This window comes from Homo sapiens, chromosome 5 (genome assembly GCF_000001405.40).
Source record: "Homo sapiens chromosome 5, GRCh38.p14 Primary Assembly".
Classification (NCBI taxonomy): Eukaryota; Metazoa; Chordata; class Mammalia; order Primates; family Hominidae; genus Homo; species Homo sapiens.
In genome coordinates, this window is record NC_000005.10 from 62,695,210 (window position 1) to 62,719,629 (window position 24,420).

Sequence of the window (24,420 nt, forward strand, 5' to 3'; positions counted from 1 at the left end):
CTACCCCCACCTACGGCCATCGGATTATTACTACCCTTCACAGGAAACAGGTTCAGTGGAGTCAAGTCACCTACTTCAGTCACTGCTTCAGGATTCATCTGAGGAACTCTGGAAGAAGCTTGTGAAGCAGCTGGTAGCAAGCAGAATATCCCGTCCTTACGCAGGTGTCTGTTTTTCATTTCTGCTGTTTTCCAGGCTTGCGTTAGCTCCATGGGTTCTTTGCTGCAGCTGAAGTTTGTGTACTTGGAGCTGGCACCAAATGCCTATAAAGTCATGATGATGAAGAACTTGGCCTCAAGTTGTGTAATCAGAACACACACATTCTTTCAGTTCCTTGGGTAGACTTAGTTCTTCTCCCATTCCCATAAAAGACTTATGGCAGTCCCTTAACTTTTAAGGCCACTTTTAGGTCATAAAAATTCTGCCATCTGTGATTAATATATGTAGTTCAGGCATAATGGCTGACTTTAAACCATGTGTATATATATATATAGTTTTTTTTTTTTTTCTGAGACAAAGTCTCTCTGTCACCCAGGCTACAGTGCAGTGGCACCATCTAGGCTCACTGCAACCTCTGCCTCCCAGGTTCAAGTGATTCTCCTGTCTGAGCCTCCCAAGTAGCTGGGACTACGGGCATGTACCACCACACCCGGCTTTTTGTATTTTCAGTAGAGATGGGGTTTCACCATGTTGGCCAGGCTGGTCTGGAACTCCTAGCCTCAAGTGACCACCTGCCTCGGGCTCCCAAAGTTCTGGGGTTACAGGCGTGAGCCACCGCACCCTGCCAGAAACTTATATTTCAAGCTGCTCTTTCTCCCTGCGAAGACCCACTGGAGCCTGGTGGCTTGCGTCGGGCTGCTCTTTCACCCTTTCCCAGCCTAGCAGTTTTATTATTTCTCTTCCATCTTGCCGGCCTCATTATGACACTCCAGGGCAGCAGCAGGGAGTAGGAGAAGGGAAAAGGCCAGGAAAGTTCTTCCTTGACTGATACTGTCAGGTGCTGACATTTTGTTTCCAGGTCTGGCAGGTGTTTAAAGCTGGCTCTTTCCTCATTTGCACTTCTGTAGTTTCTTCAGGCCCCCACCCCTTCGCTTCCTACCTCCTTCCACTCATGCCAATGGCTAGCTCTCTCTCACCTGCAGTTTCTCTTAGTGGGGGTCATGCTTCCACTGTGCGCAGTTACTTCCTCATGCTCAGCCCCAGGCCTCTGGTGGTACTCTGGTATCTTTCCTCTTAGGACTAGTTGCCCCTCCAGGCAGCTGTCTTGGAGGAAATCCAAGAAGGCCCCCCATCGGCTCCCTCACAAGAGTGGCCACATCTAGTTCATGAGAATGTACTCAGGCATCCTTGCATCCAGAGCCCAAAGCCATCCTTCATTCTTTGCTCCACCACTGAAGCAGATACCCAGCCAGATTGTTTTATGTGGGCGTCACAGGGTCCCCTACACTCAGAGGACACATGTCAGATTCTGAGTGGTCCTGTTGTGGCTCCTTTTCTTAGGTTTGAGGTGAGAAGCCCCTGTGGGGCCATTTGAACTCAGTATACCAGTAGGTCTCTCATAAATACTCCTAATTCCAACCTCCATCCTCTTATGTGAGAGAAGAGTAGGTGTGAAATGGAAGACGGGATCAAGGGTGGGAGTTCCAAAATGGATTTTGATCACTTCTAATATAAATCCTACACCATGATGTTCTCACATTCACTTTAGAATGTGGCACTATTAGTCCTGATGCCTCCGCTAGAACTTCTTTTTATTTATTTATTTATTTTTTTTTTTGAGATGGAGTCTCACTCTGCCATCCAGGCTGGAGTGCAGTGGCACGATCTCGGCTCACTGCAAGCTCTGCCTCCCGGGTTCACGCTATTCTCCTGCCTCAGCCTTCCAAGTAGCTGGGACTACAGGCACCCGCCACCACGCCTGGCTAATTTTTTTGTATTTTTAGTAGAGACGGAGTTTCACTGTGTTAGCCAGGATGGTCTCGATCTCCTGACCTCGTGATCTGCCTGCCTCAGCCTCCCAAAGTGCTGGGATTACAGGCGTGAGCCACCACGCCCAGCCCTCCGCTAGAACTTCTATTGCACATCTTCTCACATGTCTATTTACCAGAGAAGCCAAACACTAGGGCCATTGCTCACCTGTAAAGGTAGTCTATTGTATTCCTTTTGGAGTCTAGGAAAAATCCCATTCCTTGAAAGCTTGCCTTAGTAATGCCGTAGCCCTCTAGTAAAGGTCTGTGCCCAGACCTTGCTCTGGAAATGTGCCCTCAGCACACGGTTGAAATTCAATAAATGGAAAGTAATATTAACACATAAAATAAGGATCTCATCAAAGAAGAACAAAGAGCTGCTGTGTGCTTTGTGTACCTACCCTTGTGGGGGAGTCTACAGAGTATCCCAGTGAAGAACCCCAAGGATTCTGCTTAGAGCTAGAATGGAGCTGTTGAGTTCTGGAACTGAGAGCTTATGGCTTCTGCTTAGTAGGTAAACTTTCCTCTCTTCACTTGCATATGAGTTGGGCAGAACTGACTGCTTTGCATGTGTTTGAAAAGCACCATGAAAATGCTATTGATGGAGTCTTTGTGCTTGGCCTGGTGGGTTAACTGAAAACTGATCAGAGCACCAAAGTTAATTGAACTCAATTGTTAATAATAGTTAATAGGACAGATGGTTGGTGACAGAACAGACTTGCTGATCATTACTTTGTGCTCACTTGGCAAAATAATGTGAAAAAAAACTCATATCTCAACTGGCAAATAGTGCCTTTATGCATTCATATACAAATGCTTCCTGGGAGAAGATATAAGATACTACTGTTTTTATAAAGATGACTTTTCTCCTGATGTGGAACCAGGAAGATGACCTCCATCACCAAGTTAAGCCATTCTGACCTTAAAGGAACTGGCCCATCTGTGGAGTTAGGGCTTCAACATAATTTTGGAGGGACACAATTCTATCCATAATGAATGCCTCATCATGTTACTACTTACTGAATAGTCTATGTTCCTTTCTCTCCCACCTCGGTCATATATCCGGTTTCCATATATGTGGGGTTCTATATTACACAGTATTTCATTCTGGGTTCTACATTCTATTCCATGGATCTATTTGCTACACTTGTGCCAAGATTATGCCCTGAACTACTAAAGCTTTGCAATAAGTCATGAAAAACAAAAACAAAAAACAGAAAAGAAAAGAAACTGGCCCGTTAGTCATTTGCCTTGTCCCAGTTCACTGTTACTGTATAAAAACTACTCCCAGGCCAGGTGTGGTGGGTCACACCTGTAATCTCAGCACTTTGGGAGGCCAAGGTGGGTGGATCACCTGAGGTCAAAAGTTTGAGACCAGCCTGGCCAACATGGTGAAACCCCTGTCTCTACTGAAAATACAAAAATTAGCTGGGCATGGTGGCAGGTGCCTGTAATCCCAGCTACTCAGGAGGCTGAAGCAGGAGAGTCACTTGAACCCAGGAGGCAGACATTGCAGTGAACTGAGATCACACTATTGCACTCCAGCCTGGGTGACAAGAGTGAAACTCCATCTCAAAAACAAAAACAACCACAAAAATGACTCCCAAATTTAGTTTAAAACAAAAAGCATTTCTTATTGCTTGTGGGCCTGTACATCAACTGAGTGCTTCTTTGTCTTAGCTTGGCTGACTTACGTGACTTCAGGCAGCTGTGGATTGCATGCACACCTCTTCTGATCTTGGCTGGTCTCTCATAAGGTCTATTAGAATATCTGTTGTCTTTCCACATGGTCTTCAGCAGGCTAGCTCAGATTTGTTCACATGGTCATGAGGGGTTCCAAAAGAAAAGAGTAGGGATGTGCAAGGCTTCCTGAGGCCTAGCCTTGGAGCAGGACCACCATCACTTCTGTTGCACTCTATTAGTTAAGGTCCAGATTAAAAATGTAAGGAGGAGACTCTACTACCCCTTAAATAGAGGAGCTGTAAAATCACACTGCAAAGGGCTTGGAAACCCAGAGGGCATTATTGGACTATCAATGGAATCAACCTATCATAGTCCACAAGCAAAAATTTCCAGAAGCTGCCATCCTGTTGTACAAGGCCACAACTGCCTTGGGGAACACAGAGGCTTTCAAACCACAAATGCAGCTCTGATCAGAATCCAGCCCGAGAGTTCCCATCCTGGTTTCTCCTGTCTGCTGCAGTTCCTGCTGCCAGGTAGTCACTGTCATGAGCTGCTTGTAAGCAGGATGCCTGGCAGTCCATATTTGCTAATTTAGATGTACAATATTTGAGTAAGAGACAAGAGGATTACTTTTATGATTAAATCAGGGAGAGTAAAATTTCAGTTGGATAAATAAATAATTTGAATGAAAGCTCTGGATTGTCAGTGAGGTTAAATGTCACTCTAAGTAAATAAGATTTCAAATATAATTGATTGATGGATTCAACAAGCACTTATTGAGCATCTACTGTGCACAGGACACTATAATTAATAGGTTAGGCTCTCAACCCTATTGCACACCAGAATTTGATTCAATTGTACTTGGGTACAACTTGGACATCAGTATTTTCTAAATTTACCCCAGTGATTCTCATGTGCATCCAGGGTTTAGAATACTGGATTAAATTATTGACTCAATTTGTGGAAACCAATCTACTCAAGTACACCATGGTTAGATTGTGGCTCTGAGCTTGGTTGTTAAGTATTCATTCTGCCAATCATATTTAGGGAAATCTAACCATAGGCATGGCACCATGTACTGTACTCATACTAGTAGGCAAGGGTGAAATCATGGAAATCCTACCTGTGGGAAGATTGGAGTGTAGGTAAGGGGATGAGATGGTAAGATAACATAGGGATAATTGTGGGAAATGCTATAAAGGTTTAAAAAGGCTAGGGCAGTGCTTCTCAAACTAGAATGCACATCTGAATCATCTGATATTAGTAAGATGCAGCTTCTGATTCAGTAGGGCTGGAACTGGGATTCTGTAATTTTGAAAACCTCCCAGGTGATGGTGATGCTGCTGCTCTCTGGACCATCCATAGCTCTAGCAGTCACAGCTGTTATACTACACAGTTTCTACCTTGGTCTTCCAGGGGATTTTTTTCCTATGGAAACATTTTTCTGATTTTATAGTGCAGATTGAATGGATATATGAATTTCCCTTATGGACATTTGCTTTGAAATGTAATTTTGCCAAATGAGCCAGTCCATGCACACTTACTTGGACTTTGGAGAATTCACGCAAGAGCTGGAGCCCTTGGTTAGCCCAGTTGTCCCCCTTGGAGGGACTGTGGCAAGTGGAAAGGGCAGAGGCTTGAAGTCACAGGACTGAGCTCAAATTTCTGCTGACTCTCAATAGGTAACTTTGAGAAAATCGATTAAACCTTCTGAGTTTCAGTTTTCTGTATGTAGAATAGAATGGGGTTGTTGAGTAAGTTAAGTAGTCATCTTTTTGAAGCAGCTGGCACAGTGTCCAGCGTGGAGTAGGCTCTCGTTTAATAATTGTTGTCCTTATGACTGTGTGCCAACCACAGTGCTAGGCCAATGGAGATAAGTGAGACTCAGACTCCACTTGAGAGGTGGAAGGGAAGCCAGACAAGAAACCCATACATGACAGAGGGCCTGATGGCTCCAGGGAAGAGCCAGTCTTTAGCCCAGGGTGCCTCTGTGCTAGGAGACAAGGGGACACTCGACTCTCTTGTGTGTGACCTCATTGTTGGAGAGTCTAAAGGAGATCTTCTCTTGTTTTTCAGACTGAAAAGGAAGCTCAGTAGGCAGTCCTTTCCCCCAAAAGGCTTGATTCTGACTCACTTTTTTTTTTTTCTACAAGAGTTGAACTGAAAATCCAAATGGGTCTAGAGGCTTTACAGGGAGATGCCATTTAAAATAGGAGAGGGTTCAAAATTCCTTTGGAGCAGTGAGTCTTTCCTTAGGGTGTAAGGAGAAACTACAGAACAATTCAGCCATTCTTCCTGGAAGAAGAAAGAAGAAAAAAGAAGAGGAAGCAGTTTCTCAGCTCTGTAAGGGAATGGAGAGTAGAGTTCTACATTGTCTGAAAGTCATTTTAAGGGAAGCAGTTTTGGTCACTGTACTTCCTCATACTCCAATGTGGACTTAGTAATCAGAGCTTCAAAAATTGAACCCTGACTCTGTTGCCACACTTTACATGATAAGAAAAAAATGCCTTTAGATTTTTTGGTGTGTATGATTGGAAGAGGTTAACAAATTCGTACCTTGTCTGATAATATGAAAACTGTTGCTACAGAAATTGTCACTTTAAAACAATCAAGGAATGATGTTAGAAATGTCAGGATTTTGAGAAACTGGAGAACTCAATATAGAATATTTGCTGATAGAGGCCAGGCGTGGTGGCTCACGCCTATAATCCCAGAACTTTGGGAGGCTGAGGCTGGCAGATCATGAGGTTAGGAGATGGAGACCATCCTGGCCAACATGGTGAAACCCCGTCTCTACTAAAAATACAAAAATTAGCCGAGCATGGTGGCATGTGCCTGTAGTCTCAGCTACTTAGGAGGCTGAGGCAGGAGAATCACTTGAAGTAGGGAGGTGAGGGTTGCAGTGAGCAGAGATGGCGCCACTGCACCCCAGCCTGGGCAAAAGAGTGAGACTCTGCCTCAAAAAAAAAAAAAAAAAAAAAAGAATATTTGCCGATAGAACCTTTGCATCTTGTTCTACAGCATTTGATGCACAAGTAATGGCCGTGATGGAAACAGGACACTTGCCTCTGGAGTATCAATTGTCCTAAATAGAGGTCCATGCAGTGGGTATTGAAATGCAGACTTTACAGGTAGGGTCTGATTCCCCAGAATCCATCAGGGCTACTTCCTGGTGGCAGCATGACACTTGCATGTCTTCTGAAGGAAGGAGAAAGAGCGTTGTCCCTGTCCCTTTTCCTTTCCAGTTTCTTTCCTCTTGATTTCAATTTCCACACTTCTGCTGGATATATCTTTTTAGATAACAAATCTTGTTATGTGACATCTTGTTTTACAACCTCCACAAGCTTCCTCCCTATTGTTTATAGGATGCATTCCAAACGTCAGAAGACCTCAGGCCTTACCAAGCTTCTCCCCCAGCTGCTCAGAGCATCTCCTGTTTCTGGAAGAGCCCCCACTTGCAACTCCAGAGTGAGCTGTCTCCTCTGATTGACATTTATCGCCTTCCCCCAGCATCCTGCCTGGGAAGTGCGGATGCATCCCAGCACTCTCTCAGATGGTGCTTTTGCCACCAAGCCATCCTCAGCTCTTTGAGAATCCATGAATCTCCCTCTTTTGGCCTCCCCTAGCTCTTGCTCACACCTCTTTGGTAGCACTTTCCACGTGGTTTTAGCATTACTTTTTTGTCTCCCACTCTGGACCTTGGGCTGTGTACTGGCTTCTAATAGGACTCAGTGAGGGATTACTGAGCAGCAATGTAACTAGCGGGAGTGGACCTCATTCCACTTTTCCTGCTCCACTTTATAAAGATTTTGTATGATTTGCCAGTGGTAAACTTGGTTTTACCATATCTGTGTCATAGAGATGTTTTGATGATACGTGCCGTTATCTATGGTAGGCTATTGATTCATATTGTCTGACTTTGCTACTTTGTGGGTAAATTATCAATCAGGAAATTGGTAATCTTTTATTTTTAAAGGTTTGGAGAGGACTCAAAGAATTTATTGACATGCCCATATGATTCTTCAGGGCTAGCCTTGTGCTTTGAAAAACCAGAAAGAACTCAAGTTTTCTAAAGGAGTTTAATTTTGTCTGGGAGGATAGTATGAGATAAGTGTGGACTTGTGGGTGATGGGGTTCAGGGCACGCTACCTCAGAATATAGCCTGCTGTCACACTGAATGTTTTAAGCTGAAGGCATATGAGAAACAGCAGGTGCGGGAAGGACTCCCTGACTTCCCTGAAGCGGGTCATTGGCCCTCATGTGGGAGGCACTCTCCCTGTACCTGGAGGAAAGGAGAATCCTTATCTCTGAGGATGCAGGGCTGCTGAGAGGAATCTGAACAGATTTTGCTGTCTCCCTGTTTCCTACTCTTGCTCACGCCCTTTTGCCCTCTCATGTTTTTCCATGGCTTTCCACTCCATCAAACCTAGAATGGAAACACTCAGGTTTCATTGTTTCTTCAGCCCTTCATTTCCTTACAAAAGCTCCATGTCATGTAAAACTTATATTGAGTAAATTTGCGTGCTTTTTTTTCTTGTTAATCTTTCTTTTGTTGCAAGGACCCAGCTGAGAACCTAAGGTGGATAGAGGAAATATTTTTCCTCCCCTACATGGGTAAAGAGAAAAGCCACAGGTACACAGTAGGCATTCAATAAAGATTGGCTCCCTGATGCCGGCGTGAACACAGGAAGAAGACAGCTGATAAAAGACAGTAATTTATTTCTACTTTGGAAATGGCTCCACCCCTTCTGATGATTCCTACAAAGAAAACATGAGGTTCTACTGATTTCAAAGCTCATAGAAAAACTTCAGAAAAATTTCAGAGAATTGCTGTAGTATCTCTCAGAGTCAGCTATCATGGAGAGGTACTTCTCACTTCTTTGAAGGAGACTGTTGTCAAATTTTTATAGAATTACTTCTCTGAAGAGCTCAAAGTACTGAACTGTATGTCTAAGAGCATGATTTTATTTATTTATTTATTATTTATTTATTTTAGAGAAAGAGTCTTGCTTTGTCACCCAGGCTGAAGTGCAGTGGTGTGATCTCGGCTCACCACAACCTTCGCCTCCTGGTTTCAAGCGATTCTCACCTCAGCTAAGGACATGACTATTAACATATTTTTTATTTGTATTTCTTCTGAAAACAGGTGAAGGATCAATATTTTCTATAACTTTACTGATTAGGATCAGGAGAAAATTTCCCTAAAGGGCTTTCATTAATATCTGAGGGCTACCCCGTAAGGCCAAGGTCTCGCTGGGTCACAGTGAAAAGTTTCCAAAGTAGGTCCTAGAATGAAATGTCAAAAGCGTTGGGATTAGTAAGGCTGGAGAAAGATTAAACTCACAAGTACTGAAGGCTGTGGTTCATGAGGAAGTGGGCGAGTCTGGTAAGTCTGGAACTTAGGACACTAATGAGAAAGGAATTAATTTATTTTTGTATTCAACGTTATTAAGCTCTTTTTACATGTTAGGTTCTACACGCTAGGCAGTAGGTATACAAAAGAAAAACAAGGAAAACTACCCTGCTCCTAAAGACATTTGCAGCTCAGTTAGAGACAGACGTAGAAACAAATTGTTGGAGGCTTTGGACAGCCATAGGCTAATTTGAAAATCCCATGTGGGAAATTATTGCCTAAGGTTATTTCACATATAAGGTGCTAAGAACAAAGTGCTTATCACCTCCAAATAGAAAAACTACCCCAAAGAGGAGCTGCAGAAAGTGCTCTGAAGAGCCTACAGAAAAGCCTGGGAACCCAATAGTAGTTTGCCCCTAGGGACAAAGCATGGGTTATTCAAGTTCTTAGCCTCTTATAGAGACCTCAGCCTTGGGTCTGCCTGACATCCCAGGCCTCAGTCCCCTACCCTTGAAGGAGCATTGTGAAGTGGGCGGCAAAGTCCCAGGTCGTTTCTTGGGTCATGGTTTCAAGGGTGGAGCTTTCCTTTATTTATTTATTTTAAGGCAGTCTCATTCTGTCACCCAGGCTGGAGTGCAGTGGCACCATCAATCTTGGCTCACTGCAACCTCTGCCTCCTGGGCTCAAACGAATCTCATGCTTCAGCCCCCTGAGTTAGTTGGGATTACAGGCATGCACCACCATGCCTAGGTAATTTTTGTATTTTTAGTAGAGATGGGGTTTCACCATGTTGGCCAGGCTGGTCTTGAACTCCTGGCCTCAAGGGACCCACCCACCTCAGCCTCCCAAAGTGCTGGGATTACAGGCATGAGACAAAAGCCCGTCCGGAGCTTTCCTTTAGATGCAGAGACTGAACTGCTCTTGCTCCCCAGGGCAGGACCTCTTTCATTCCTTCTCCCTCAGGATATTCAGTTTCTCCTATTTTGCATGGCTATGTTGGGGCTAAAATAGGCCTGGAGGTACTCTTGGGCTGGGAAGGCTGTGAGTGGGTGACTTGGTCAGCTCCACCCTAGGCCTTCAGGAGAAATCTTCTCTTCTCTCTCTTCTCTTTTCTTAGGAAAGCATTCCCTGGAGTTTATCATCAGAGTGACACAATCTAGAAGGCTGAGATGAGGATAGGGGAAGAGGCCCAGGGGCTGTTAGGCCTGCTTTGGTCCAGGCCTTGGTGGGCTCCTCCTTGGCTTGCAATGCTCCAACACTGGACACTTCAGCCTAGCTCTCCAGGAGACTCTGTTGTGCTTTGGGGCAAAAGCCACAGGAGAAGCCACTTAGGATTCAAGAATACTGAGTTTCAATAAAAAACTGAACCAATATACTTAACGAATTTGAACAAAAAGGTGAGGAAGAGGGTGGGAACATGCCTTCAAACCCATTGTGATTTGAACAATTTAGGGATAGCTGCCATAGCTGCTACCTAGCAACGTCTTAAAAGAATGATCAAAAGGATGTATTTTGGAACAAATATGTCACAATTGTCTCTTGAGTCAGTTTATAACAACTCCAAATGAGAAGTCTCAGGGCTGCCACAAGGCCCATGCTCTCAGACCAGGTGTGGATCTTTTCTACTCAGAAAACACATTGACTTCCCACAGCATGCACCTCTGAACTCCCATGGCTGAGACATGCACAGCCCATTTCCTCCTTCTGGACACCCTCAGAGCTGCTTTTCCCCAGTTTCTCCCACATGCCTTACAACAGCTCTCCTGTAATTTAAATTCCACCTTTTCAGAGCTACCCTAACCAATTTAGCGCCCTCTTGAAGCAGCAAGGCAGTGGCACCCTCTTAAGAGTGAATAACAGGTTCAACTTATTTTGGTTGCAATTTCACATTAGAAACAACTGGTATTTTTTAAAAAGTAGTAATAACTGGGTCCCGTCCTGGACAAATTGCATCAGTATGTCTGGGGGTGGTGATTCTGATGCATGGTGAGGATGCAGAACTATTGGTCTCACCCATCCCTCCTACCCTGTTTGATTATAGACTCCTGGAGGTGACGGTGGTGGTGTGATAGCATCTTCTGCTTCCTTGACTGTCCCTATCAACCTTGTTCCATGGTGGTGAATGCTTGCTGCTCACAACTGACTTTGCAACTTCTTTGAAGGCATCTTTTACCCAAGTGGCCCCATCAGACCCTCTCATCTTTCAGTTTAACATCTGAGAGAGGATTAGGAGAGAGGTGGGCTCACTTCCCACTTCTTTCAGGATGAGAGGGCATTGCCAGGGTCCTGCCCTGCTATCTTTAGAGGCAGAGAGCTGTTGCAAGCCAGCTGAGGGAGAACTCAGGAAAAGAAGGACAAACTTGTGACTAGGTGCCTAGATGCTGTCAGATCCAGCTGAGGGTAAGAGATTTGAGCTGGGCCTGAAGGAGGAAGGAGCCCATGTGGCAAGCCTCTATTGACTGTGTCTCAGAGCAAACAATGCAAAGTTTCTGCTTCGGTAGGGAGCAGTCAGAATAGACAGGCCCTGGAAATCTGCCGAGGGATGATGGGCCAGCCTCATACTGTGATTTCAGGGCTGCCATTTAAGTTTATTTTTATTGTCAATGAGGTTTGTGCCTTCAAGAAAAAAGCATCATCTTCATTAGGTGCAGGGTCATGGAAAAGACACAACTTGGAAGGCATGGATTTGAGATTGACCTTGGCTGAGATTGAGTGACTAGCCCCTCAGAGGCTGTTTTCCCATCTGTGAATTGGGTTGTGGTACAAGCTCTACTGAGGAGTTACATGGGATGAAATAAATGCCTTCCCTAGAAGGTGACAGCACACACTAGAAGTCACAGCCACCAGTTATTTTTCATATAACAAGGATCCCTTGAGGAAAGCCTGGAAGAAGCCTGGACATTCCCCAGACTGGAGTGTCCTCACTTCTTGATCAGATGTTGGTATTCCAGCCAGGGCTTTAGTAGCATAAACTAGAGAATGTGGCCGTCTGAAAACTCCTCCCCTAAGGGACTCATTTCTTCAGCTGTACCTGTCCTTCCTCCAACTCCTCCTCCCCTCGACTCTGCTTAGATCTCTGAACATGAATCTGAAGAATAAAACTGGAAATTCTTTGTGGTTTCTTATGCAATCTAATTCTCACTTGAGGAAAGAGTAGTGTATAAGATGCTTTCTTCTTTGCTTGAATGTTTTAGAGTTTGACCAACTATGGTTAGACAGTCTGGAATCAGTAATAATAAGTATCACTGAAATAAATTATAGATAAAAGTAGGACCACAAATTGGAAGCACAAGATGTCCAAGACAAGCATAACAGAAAGAATGAGAGCCAGATGCATAACTTCCTCAGCCCACCATTGACAGTGGAGGCTGCATTTTCTTGACACAAGATCAGAAGGTGGTTGAGGCTTTTGGACTGAATTTAAAATTCAACATGTGAATAACTGAATACATCAAGGTTCCCTCTAATTATCTCTGGCTAAGCTTGCTTGCCAGCCCCAAGGAAACAAACATATCAGTGTTATAAATCAACCTCTGACAGGGGCATCCATGGAGAAGTGAATGTGAAAGTCAAAGTTTTCGTGGAGTAACCCATGTGCTTTTCAATGAGAACTCAGTGGTTCTTTGCCCTTTGCACATTTGAATCATGTGTGGGGCTGTTAAAAATACAGATGCTCAGGCTTCAGCCCAGACCAATTAAATCAGAATCTCTGAGGGTAGAAAACCCACCTTGGTATTTTTCTATAGCTCTCCAGGTGATTCCAAGCTACAGATAAAATAAAAATCATTTGTTTAACCTGTGGCTGGGAGCGCTAACATTTCCAGACTCTTGTCAATATCCTCCTCCTTACCAAGGAAAGGGGTGTATCTGGGCTAGAAGTCTTAATTATTAGGAGCCCATGTGTAATAACTACTGCTGGATAAGTGAATGTAATGGGGCTAGTCCATAGCAAAAGGGGAAGAGACAGGATGAGGGAGAGCTGTTGCTCTTCTGTGTTGACTGACTTGACTTTCTCCCCTTTTACTTTTGATAATAATATGGAACACAAAGGAACTGTTATACGCACTGTGCAGTAACAGACCAATACACCAAGACAGCAGAGTTTGCAGCAGAGAAAGAGTGAGTGAGGAGACAGGAGGAACTATAAAATCCATCTCTCCAAGGAGGTCTAGGCTGGAGTTTTTAAGGGAATTGTGAAGGGCAAAAGCCTGGAAAATTAAGGCCATTGATCAGTCAGGGAAAAGGGGATGAAATTATCAGGATGTGGAAAGTGCTTTCTTTGGTGAGTCAGTGCCTTGTAAGGTCCTTCAGACAAGCTGAGAGCAGAAATTGTATCAATATGCAGGACCTAAGAGAAGATCTCAAATGGAAAACTTAACATTTCACAGTGTTCAAGTTGTTATCTATAGAACATTTAAGGGGAGTTGTAATCTAGGGCCTACATGATTCTGAGGCAATAGGCAGCAAACAGCTATGAGGAAGCGGGCCAGTGAGCAAGCTGACCTCATGATAATGCTGAATGTGCTGCAAGCTTGGTTTATTTTTTCTTCTTCCCCTCCCTTTTTCCCTGATTGATTTTATCAAGTTTACAGAAATGATTTCAGAACTACATTTATGTACCAGACTTGGTTCTGGGAACTTTACATAAAATGTCTCTTTTAATCTTTACAAATGAGTCTTACTCCAATTACAACAAGAAAACCAAGACTCAGAGGAGTTAAGCAGCTTGCTCAAGGGCTAGATAAGAGGTACTGTTGGGATTTGAAACTAGGACTGTTTGATCCCAAAAGCCAAGTGTCAGAATACCTCAGTCATGCTTTGGTAGAGTTCAGCACCAAAAACATGTAAATGGCACTGGGAAGAGTTCCAGAGGCATTGCCCTGGCAGGCCTCTGCTTCCAACAGCTGTGTTGGGAAATGTGCTGGAATCAATGGCATAATTAGGGTGTGACCTTCCCAGGCCTATCTCATCTTCCCAGAGACAGTATTCAGCAACAGGATAACCCAGGGGCTGTGTGTATCTTGGCTTCATTGAAGGCTCTTGTCCAATGGACCAGAGGCATTGGCAGAAAGGAAAACTGAGACCAGGAGAAAGAAAGAAAGATTGAGGAGTAGAAGGTATCTTTCCATTGACCAGAAGGTATCTTTCCATTGACCACTGCAAACTCTGATCACCTTGATATTTAAAGAAATAGCCCTGCCTCCAGTCCAGCATTTGTTGTTTTTATTAATGTTCATGAAATCCAGGAAACACAAATCTTAGAGGAGCTTGTAGGAGAGCAAAATCTTCTTCTACTCATCTTAGTTTCATTGGCTGGGGCCCTGCAATTTAGACTGACAAAATACAGATTAACGAGAGAAATACAGGAGTTTATTAATGTGTGCCCTGTAGACACACATGAGAGCGCTCAGATTAGTAACTCAAACAGGTGGTAAGAACTAGGACCTATGTATCATCTTAACAGAAGAATAATAACTTTTTAGAGAAATCACAAGGCAAAAGAAAAGGACTTTAAGCTTTCAAAGACAGCAAATTGTGGAAAGGTAAATCTATGGGGGAAACTAACAGAAGGTAGGAACTAGTTAGTAAAGTTTGTTTGTGTAGACTCCTCTGGCACCATTTCTGGGCTGATAAGCATCTAGAGTTGTTTCTCATGATTAACTTCTGTCCTTCCTGGTAGAGAGGGGAAGGGGTCAGTTTTACCAATTTGTGTCCTGCTTTTAGGCAAATAGGAAGAGGCAGACAGCTTGCTCTTTCCCTCCCTCCCTTCCTTCCTTCCTCCCTCTCTTCCTCACTTCCCCCTCCCTTCCTCCCTCCCTTCCTCCCTTCCTTCCTTCCTCCCTTCCTTCCTCCCTTCCTTTCTCCCTTCCTCCCTTCCTCCCTCTCTCCCTCCTCCCTTCCTCCTTCCCTCCCTCTCTCCCTTCCTCCCTTCCTCCCTCTTTCTTTTCTTTCTTTCTGACAGAGTCATGAAAGAAAGAGCCCAGGCTGGAGTGCAGTGGTATGATGATAGCTCACTGTAGTCTCGACCTGCTGGGCTCAAGCGATCCTCCCACCTCAGCCTCCCGAGTAGCTGGTACTGTAGGCACATGCCACTATGCCTGGCTAATTTTTGTATTTTTTTGTAGAGACAGGGTTTTGCCATGTTGCTTAGGCTGGTCTTGAACTCCCGGGCTTGTGATCCACCAATCTTGGCCTCCCAAAGTGCCGGAATTACAGGTATGGGAGAGATATTCTTACATCTACTTTTTCTCATTTGCTTCAGCTCAAAATCTTATGCTAAACTGGCAAATTTGAGGGTTGCTTATTTTGCTTCCCTCTAAACTTAAGCTGGAGCAAACCTCTCCTGGATGCACATCTCTGGAAGCCCCAGGTTCTGAATGGCAGCTGGATCTCAGGTGAGGACACTCTACCTGTTCTGGTATCTGTGGTTTGACATGGGTAGAGGTGGGGAGATTCCTAGTGAAACCAGTTATAACTTGTGGACCATGACAGTGGCCTATCAGATCTGAGTACAAATCTGCCCTACTTGGAATGCCTATGATGTCTTTGAAAATATCCATCTAGACTATTTCCAATCTCTCTCTCTTTTTTTTTCTTTTTTTTTTTTGAGATGGAGTTTTGCTCTTGTTGCCCATGCTAGAGTGCAATGGTGCAATCTCAGTTCACTGACTCACTGCAACCTCTGCCTTCCAGGTTCAAGCGATTCTCCTGCCTCAGCCTCCAAGTAGCTGAGATTACAGGTGCACGCCACCATGCCCGGCTAATTTTTTGTATTTTTAGTAGAAATGGGGTTTCACCATGTTGGCCAGGCTGGTCTCAAACTCCTGACCTCAGGTGATCCGCCCACCTTGGCCTCCCAAAGTGCTGGGATTACAGGTGTGTGCCACCGTGCCTGGCCGACTATTTCCAATCTCTTAAAAGACATGCTTTGTGGTTACAACCTGGGGACAAAAACAAGTTGTGCCTGTGTATAACCACCATCTTACTCATAGAACCTTAGATGGAGTTCCACCCATGGATTGTACTAGTAGTATTCTAGCCTCAAAGTTATTATTCTAGACACCTGTGACAATAATATAAAGCAAGTTCTGAAATTTTTGATATTTGGTTTCTAGCTCCTATATCTTTTCTAACACCAAAGTATTTTTGGAAAGTGCTCTCCAGACTTGATCTGTATCTAACCAACCATATGGAAAAAAGGGGAACATGTACTGCCAGAATATATATGTCTCTATCTGAAACAACTTCAGCACTTTGACACATATTACTAGCCAAGAGATCAGAGAGATGGCAGGTAATTACTATACCACAGGGCGATGTTTTCTTGTTTCTGAAGAAGCTGTATTGACTTGTGATTTGTGGGGGTAACAATAAGGAATCTCATAGACATATCTGACATATTTTTAAGATGAAAATATTCCAGGCCAGGATGAAATTTATTTAAAAATCAGTTGCTCTTATTTCTGAATCAAGGAATTAGAGTGGAGCCTCTGAGAAACAGGAGTGAAGGAGCAAAGATAGTTGCTGTCTTTCTCTTTGCCCCTTCAATATCAAAATGGCAACAGGAGTCAGAGTGTCCACAGGGAAGTGGGAAGAGCACTGGGCTGGTGGTCAGGAGACCTGGCTTAGCTGTTGAATGGGCACTGATGGGTGATTTCATCTCTCCTTGCCTCACTTTGCTCATTGGCTAATGGGAAGTTATAATGACTGCCCCATCTCACAGGGGTGTTCTGAGAATCCAGTGAGGTGTAAAATTTGGAAAGCATAAAGTGCTATACAAATATAAGATTATTAAACTCAGCTGCCTCCTCCCTATTTGCTATGCGTATGTTAATTAGTTTAATTATGCTTCCAGCTGAAAAATGATTGGCTGAAGTGTGGGGGAATCAGGTTACAATGTCAGATTGAGAAAGTCAAAATGGGTTGGTCTGGCTGACCAGATAGAAGTCTCTTTCTTTCTTATGCCCCTTTTGGTTGAAGAGAATGACCTTCCAGAAAGAGGCAGTGTGTACTTTATCCCAGGCCATGTAAATGCTGCTACAACAACAAATGGACTGAGTCCCTCTGCAGGAGAACATAGCCCCTTAGGAGATACATTTTCTTGATGAAAATCAATTCATAATAGAAAGTATTTACCACGTGTAGGTACTTAGCAGAGATGAAAGATCAGAAGTCATGGACTTTTGTTCGTTTGTCTTTTGAGACAGGGTCTCACTCTGTTGCCCAGGCTGAGTGCAGGAGTGTGATCATGGCTCACTGCGGCCTTGACCTCCTGGGCTCAAGTGATCCTCCCACCTCAGCCTCCTGAGTAGCTGGGACTACAGGTGAATGCCCCCACGCTGGCTAATTTTTTGTTTTTTGTAGAGATAGGGTTTCACTATGTTGCCCAGGTTGGTCTCAAACTCCTAGACTCAAGCCGTTGGCCCACCTCAGCCTCCTAAAGTGCTGGGATTACAGGCATGAGCTGCTGCACCTGGCCAGAAGTCATGGTTCTTATCCACAAGATGCTTATGCTTCAGCATAGAGAAGGACATAGTGCAGGCATAGAAAGACATGATGTTGGCTGGGCATGGTGGTTCACGCCTGTAGTCCCAGCACTTTGGGAGGCTGAGGCAGGCAGATCATCTGAGGTCGGGAGTTCAAGACCAGCCTGACCAACATGAAGAAACCCCGTCTCTACTAAAAATACAAAATTAGCCAGATGTGGTGGCACATGCCTGTAGTCCCAGCTACTCGGGAGGCTGAGGCAGAAGAATCACTTGTACCCGGGAGGAGGAGGGTGCGGTGAGCCGAGATCGCGCCATTAGCACTCCAGCCTGGGCAACAAGAGGGAAACTCCATCTGAAAAAGAAAAGAAAAGAAAAGAAAGACATTGTGTTAGGGTGGTTTCTAATACAAATGGGAGTTATTCTTACTCCTCACTTAGGGACAGGGTCTAGGGATAGGCAGGCTCCAAGATAAGCCAATATCACAGTTCTCTAAACTGCATCAGCACTTCCTTACATATTAAAGCCATCTGTTGGTAGTCGAAACTCTCTACTTAGAGAGTAGTTCTCATGCTTTTGGGTCTCAGTCCCCTTTACACTATTAAATCTTATTGAAGATCCTAAAGACGTTTTATTTGATTTATACATATTTATATTAGTTATCAAAATGGACACTTAAAATATTTAAGAATAACTATAATAAACCCATTACTTTTGAGCATACATAACAGATGCTTTATGACAAATAACTACATTATCCAAAACAAAAATTTAGTGAGAAGAGTGACATTGTTTCACTTTTTTTTTTTTTTTTTTTTTTTTTTGAGACGGAGTCTTGCTTTGTCGCCCAGGCTGGAGTGCAGTGGCGCAATCTCGGCTCACTGCAAGCTCCGCCTCCCTGGAAGCTCCGCCTCCCGGGTTCACGCCATTCATCTGCCTCAACCTCCCGAGTAGCTGGGACTACAGGCACCCACCACCACGCCCGGCTAATTTTTTTGTATTTTTAGTAGAGACGGGGTTTCACCATGTTAGCTAGGATGGTCTCCATCTCCTGACCTCGTGATCCACCCGCCTCAGCCTCCCAGGCATGAGCCACCATGCCCGGCCTGTTTGACATTTTAACAAATCTCTGTAATGTCTGGCTTACAGGAAAACAACTAGATTTTCGTATTTGTTTTTGCATTCAATCTGTCACAATCTGTTCTGTGGGAAGAAAATCTGGACTTAACCAGATATTCAGTTGGAAAAGGGAGAAGTATTTCATTAGTCTTTTCAGATAATTGAGAATATTCTTCTTTGATACTAAACTGCAGCTCAACAAGAGGTAATCTCTTAAAGGTTAGTTGCAGTGCAGAATCTGAGAACATACCAATGACTCTTTTGTCCTCTGTACATTAAAATCCGTTTGGTCTATCTTGCCCTTTAAATGGGCAAAATCCAGTATGTGGATTTTGTAGTATTGTGCATTGGCCATTTGGAAAATATTGGATTGCTGAGTTATGCAGCTGTTCCAAATATTGACACATTTTGTTACATGATATCAAAAAATTACCATTGTTAATATTACCCATCTCCTCAGAAAAGTCTGTAAGTATGTAGAAGCTGTCACAGTCATAGTGGTGGATATAAGTTTTCCAAAATTCTAATTTTTGCTTAACAGCTCAAATTTTTATTGTTGCCAGTAAATACTGCCAGTTTTCCTTGAAGTGACAGGCTTGCTCGTTTTGGTATTGAGAAAATGTCCACCAACCAGTTTGTCTGTCAGTCATGCTTTCAAGAATAAAGATGGTGCTCCATGAAGAAAGCAGCTGGTTCAGCTCGCAACTCAGTTACACAAATGCTTTTCCTTGAGACAACCTCAAGATAGCAGAAATGCTTTCTGTGCACTTTTTGTTTTGACACAAAGCTTATTAAAATAATGTGTGAGGGCTGAGATTTAATGAAATTGCTGTTTTTTACTGACTCAACAAGGAGATTTTTATTGAAACTGGCCTTTTCTTCTTACTGTGAGTGCATGGTGGGGAACAAGATGACCATCAGTACATCTCAGTGCCACTGCCTTGGTTTGTTGTTAACATGGCAGCAGTTTTACCCACCAGTGCTTCTGCAAATGTCGAAAACAGTGAAAAAGGCAAATGATGTGTTAGTATTATTATGACAACAATTTCAACCTCATGGACCACCCAAAAGGGTCTCAGGGACCTGCAAGGGTCTGTGGGCCACACTTTGAGGACTCCTGACTTAGAGGATATGACCTCCCTTAGGTGATTTGCCGCAGTCTTGTAGTCATTTTTCTCTCTCAGGTCTTTCGATGCTGAACACGGGAGAGACTGAGGTCTCAGGATGGCTGGAAAAGTTGGGATCCTTCACCACAAGGCACCAGATGCTGAACAATCTGTAAGAGAAGTTAGAATGGGCCTTGCAAACGTATGTCTCTAGGTTAAAGGTGAAGGTTACTGGGGCTACCTGATTTCTCTATCTCTTTTGGAATGTTCAGCGGTTATCACTATGTTCTGCATGTGGGAAAGGGATTATTTTATCTTTCCTTCTCCCTTTCCTTTGTATATGCCTGGTTCAGAATAATCAGTTTTTGATCCTTGAGTGAAGAGTTTTTATCTGAGAACTGTGACATAAAGAAACTCTCCAGATATCTCCTTGTCTTCCCTTAAGTTACCTGCAGTCCCCAGTGGGGTGGGGTGTTTCAAGGGGAATCCTGGTATAATAACTATCAGTGTGCAATCAGTCTATTTAATTTCTTAAAGACTAGTGCCAGAGTTCAGAGGAAGGAGCCTCCCTGGCAGCCAGGGCCCTCCCTGGAGGTGGTGTTCTGGAGCTGAGCATGAAAGAGGACTGGGTGAAGGGACAGCTTGGCTGGGAGAATGGCTGGGCTTATGCTTGGCTGGCAATGAGTTGTTAACTGCCATATTGTCTTCAGGCAGCTGAGGTCATAAAAAGGAAGAGAAAGGCTTTTGCCAAGTAGGAGACACGTAGGTCGCTTGCCTTCTTTGAAGAGTTTGTATACCAGCTGTCACATTTACTAGCTCTGTAACCTTGGGTAACTTTCTCCAACATTTTATGCCACAGTTTTCTTGTCTATACGATGGGAATTATGTTTACCTTATAGAGTTGTAAGGATTAAATTAGCACATATAACAAGAATGTTTAGGAGCAGTGCTGGCATGGAGTAAGTAGTCAATAAAATATAAACATCATTATTATTGTTATTTTTATTATTATATCACTTTATTGAATCCTTTCATAAACCAAAGTAACAGAGATGATTACCTCTATTAAGGCATAATTTTCAGAAAGATAAAATCATGAGTCTTATGCAAATATAAAGTGAATACACATCAAAGATTTTATTTACCTCATTAATGAAAGAACCATGAAGATGTTAATGATACATCAGAGAGCATTTGAAAGGGGAGGGAGCTTGTAGGCAATGTTGAGATGAGATTGCTGGGTAAGACACAAAACTGAGTAATGTTCAATGAAGCCCTAAACCATCATCTTTATGGTTATATCTGTCACCAAATAAAAATTATTTGCATTTCTACTGGACAAAAACATGCGATTTAAACTCTGCGCCTACAGAGTTGAAAGATATCCCAGACAATAGAAAAACAAACTCAGTACCATAATGAAAGAACTCCTGGTAATCCCTTCTGCTTATTTTGAAATTTTGGATAAATTTTCTGATAATGCCAAACTATGTATGGGGAAACTGAGTCTCAAAAAGGTGAAATAACTTGTGCAAACTTATACGGCTAGAAATGCCAGAGCCAGAATTCCAACGCCCATATATCCATGTTTTTTCACTAAATTAGTTACCTCCACTCAAGTAAAACTCACTCTTTAAGGAGATCACTAGAAAGTGGAGACCTGAAATTTCAAGTCTTCTCTGAGGGAGGTGGGAGGGCACAGGGAAGAGTTCAAACAAAACAAAATAGCAAAACTTCAGGATTCCCAGGACACAACAGTGTTGTCAATCTGCCCACCGTTAGCAAAATCGTGTTTTCTCTTCCCTCTCCTGCTTTTTAAAATTTACCATGAGATGAAATAAATTTTAGGGCAGTGCGATAGCCAAGTATGTGTGATATCACTTATAGGTTCAATTGTTATTCCTGGATTGGCAGAAAGTAAGTTTGTTACTAATTTAATAACTCAATATAAACTTCTGCTTACACTCAGTACAATTACTTTCAAATGGTAGTGAAATATTTTATTGTATTTAGATAAAAGATTTTCTAATATTTATGAGTGCCCCTTTCCTGGGTTATTCTTAGCAAGAATAAAATTAAACTTTTTAACATAAGTTTGAAGTAGAGGCAGTTGGTTGCTTTGAATTCTTTTTTAACTTTGTCAGAATTTGTCAAAACATGATCTAAAGCAAAAATGCATGGAGTAGGTGAACCGGAGTATGTTTATTTATAAACAGAAACTTGAGCCAAATGCAGCAGTAAATGAAAAACTGCAACAAATCACATTAATTTGTTTTTAAAAATAAAGCAAAACAAGTAGGATTTTTAAAACTCCCCAAAGTAACGAACCAGTTTAAACCAGATCTGAGTAATATTGGGATGAAAAACTTTTCATCTTAGTAATTGGTGCCAGAAAATATCTTAAAAAGAGCATTGTCTTAATTTAGGGAAACCTTTGTAATCCACTTAGGGGAGAAAGATGAGGCCCCGGTAGTGTGTACTGGAGGAATGTGATCCTCACATGACCTTGAAGGGAAGGAAAAATAACTCTCTCTCTACCCTTCTGAGTTCTTAGCTGGGACAGACCCCTGCAGCAAAAGACAGATTAACAAGAGAAAGACAAACAGAAGTGCATTAACATGTATATTTCATATACACATGGGAGATACCTGAGGAATGAGTAATTCTCAAGGATGTGGCTTAGACCTCTGGCTTATATGGCACCTTCAACAAAAAACAGTATGTTTTTAGAGAAGTGTTAAGACAAAGGAAAAAGACTTTGAGTCTCTAGGGGCAGCAAATTGTGGGAAGGCGCATATGTGGGAGTTAGCCAAGTTTGTTATGCAGATTCCTCTGGTGCTGTGCACAGGCTGAAAAGGGTCTAATGTTGAATCAGTGGTCAACTTTTCTCCTTCCTGGTAGTGAGGGAGGAGGACACCTTTCCTTTGTAAATTTGTGTCCTCCTTGTAGGCAAATGGAAGAGGGCAGAGAGCTTTTCTTATATCTACTTCTTCCCAATTGCCTTCAGGTCAAAATAATCCTTATGCCAAAGAGGCATATTTTGGGATGGCATATTCTTGTCTCCTACAGTAGATGTCTGTGTGATGGAGTGGGTGAGGCTGGACCGTGTCAGAGGAGGTTGGAGCCTGTGGGACAGGGTGGAGCAAGAGGCCTTGCTAGTGGAAGAGGGGGCAAGCCCTTTCATTTTATTAAAAAAAATTTTTTTTATTTCATTAGCTTTAGGGGTACAAGTGGTTTTTGGTTACATGGATGAATCATACAGTGGTGAAGTCTGGGATTTTTGTGTATTGTCACCTGCGTAGTGTACCTTTTACTTCAATAGGTAGTTTTTCGTCTCTTACTCCTCTCCCACCCTCCCAGCAAGCCCTCTGAGAACAGGGATCTTTCATAGCCATTCTAAAATTGTTTATTGTTTACTTTGCCACATTGCAAACCCTTCTGATTCCTTATGCTGCTAATGACTTGGGAGAGTATTGTTTTTTATTTTGTTTTGGTTGGTGGTGGCAAAGTTGCTGGAGAAATTCAAGGGAAAATGATTAACTCCACGAGTCATTCCAAGAGAACAACTTGAGAGGGAGGACCATGAGAGGCAGAGAGTCTCCAAGGAACATACCTTTAGAGCTGGTAGTGACCTTGGCAGTGCTGACCCCTGGAGGGTAGGATGTGTGGGACAAGGACCTCAACTTAAAGTTTTTAAATAACAAACAACAGGATAATGTTCCTTGGCATGTGACTTATGCAATGAATAAAACAAAGACAGGACATTTAAAGATTCTCTGGACCAGACTCCATTTCCCCGATTTCCATCACCTGCTGGCCCATCAAGGACTGGGTTGATGAAGCTTTTGCTAAGAGGCTTCAACCCTGATCTGAGTTGTCTGTAATTAGGTGTTCCTTGAATTTGATTTCCTAGAATATGGTAGCTCTGGACTAATGACTACAAATCTGTTATGGCTTAGTGCTTCTCTTTCTGTTATTAAGTAATGATGGAACAGCTGTGCACATATAGAGACTGTTCTAGATGCAGGAGAAGATGCCTCCTGCCCTGTGAGCCGGCAAAAAGGAGGCCACAGCCATAAGGCTCGGACTGATGGGCCACTCAATAGTCCACAACCACTGGAAGGAACATCAGGAGAAAATCTGTAGTGCGGAGGGGGTTAAATTCACTGAAGATCTGTTTTCCCTCAAGGAACCTTAAGGTTCTGGTTGAGAAGTCAGCTTTCTTTCTGGTCAGATAGCACTCTTTTCTAATTCTCAATATAAATTGCTCTTTTCCCCTTCTTGTAGCTTGTGGTTGAAAACCTGTAATTAATTTACAGAAGCATGTTTCCTGCAATTATAAGAGCAATTGCTCAGTGGAGGTGGGCAAAAAACGTGGCTGTGCTGTGCTTGGAAGTGAGGTATATTTTGCGAGTAAGTTATTAATCAAGTGCGGAAGTGAATAATTTCCTCGTAATATCCACTATCCCAGCTTCTCTGAGTGTCTTCATCTTCAAGATCCTAAGGCATTCTCAGCAATTGCCCCTGTGCCCAGAGAAATGGAAGGAGAAAAGCAGACCCCACCACCACTCCACTCGCTCTGGCTTTGCAATTCCTTGGATCATTGAGCTGCTTTGTGCCGGAGTTGTTTCAGCTGGAGAATCACCCTGACATTCCTGAACTGAAGCTGAGCCTGGTACTCCCCAAACTTGTGCCTCAGGGGTTTA

General features: G+C 43.2%; 1 annotated feature.

The window, feature by feature from the left end:
- Positions 22,945–23,685: an enhancer, noted in NCBI's record as "NANOG-H3K27ac hESC enhancer chr5:62013981-62014721 (GRCh37/hg19 assembly coordinates)". NCBI's record gives its function as "activates a minimal SCP1, AML or CMV promoter by ChIP-STARR-seq in naive H9 embryonic stem cells {active_cell/tissue: H9 hESC(naive)}" and the evidence as "EXISTENCE:reporter gene assay evidence [ECO:0000049][PMID:30033119]".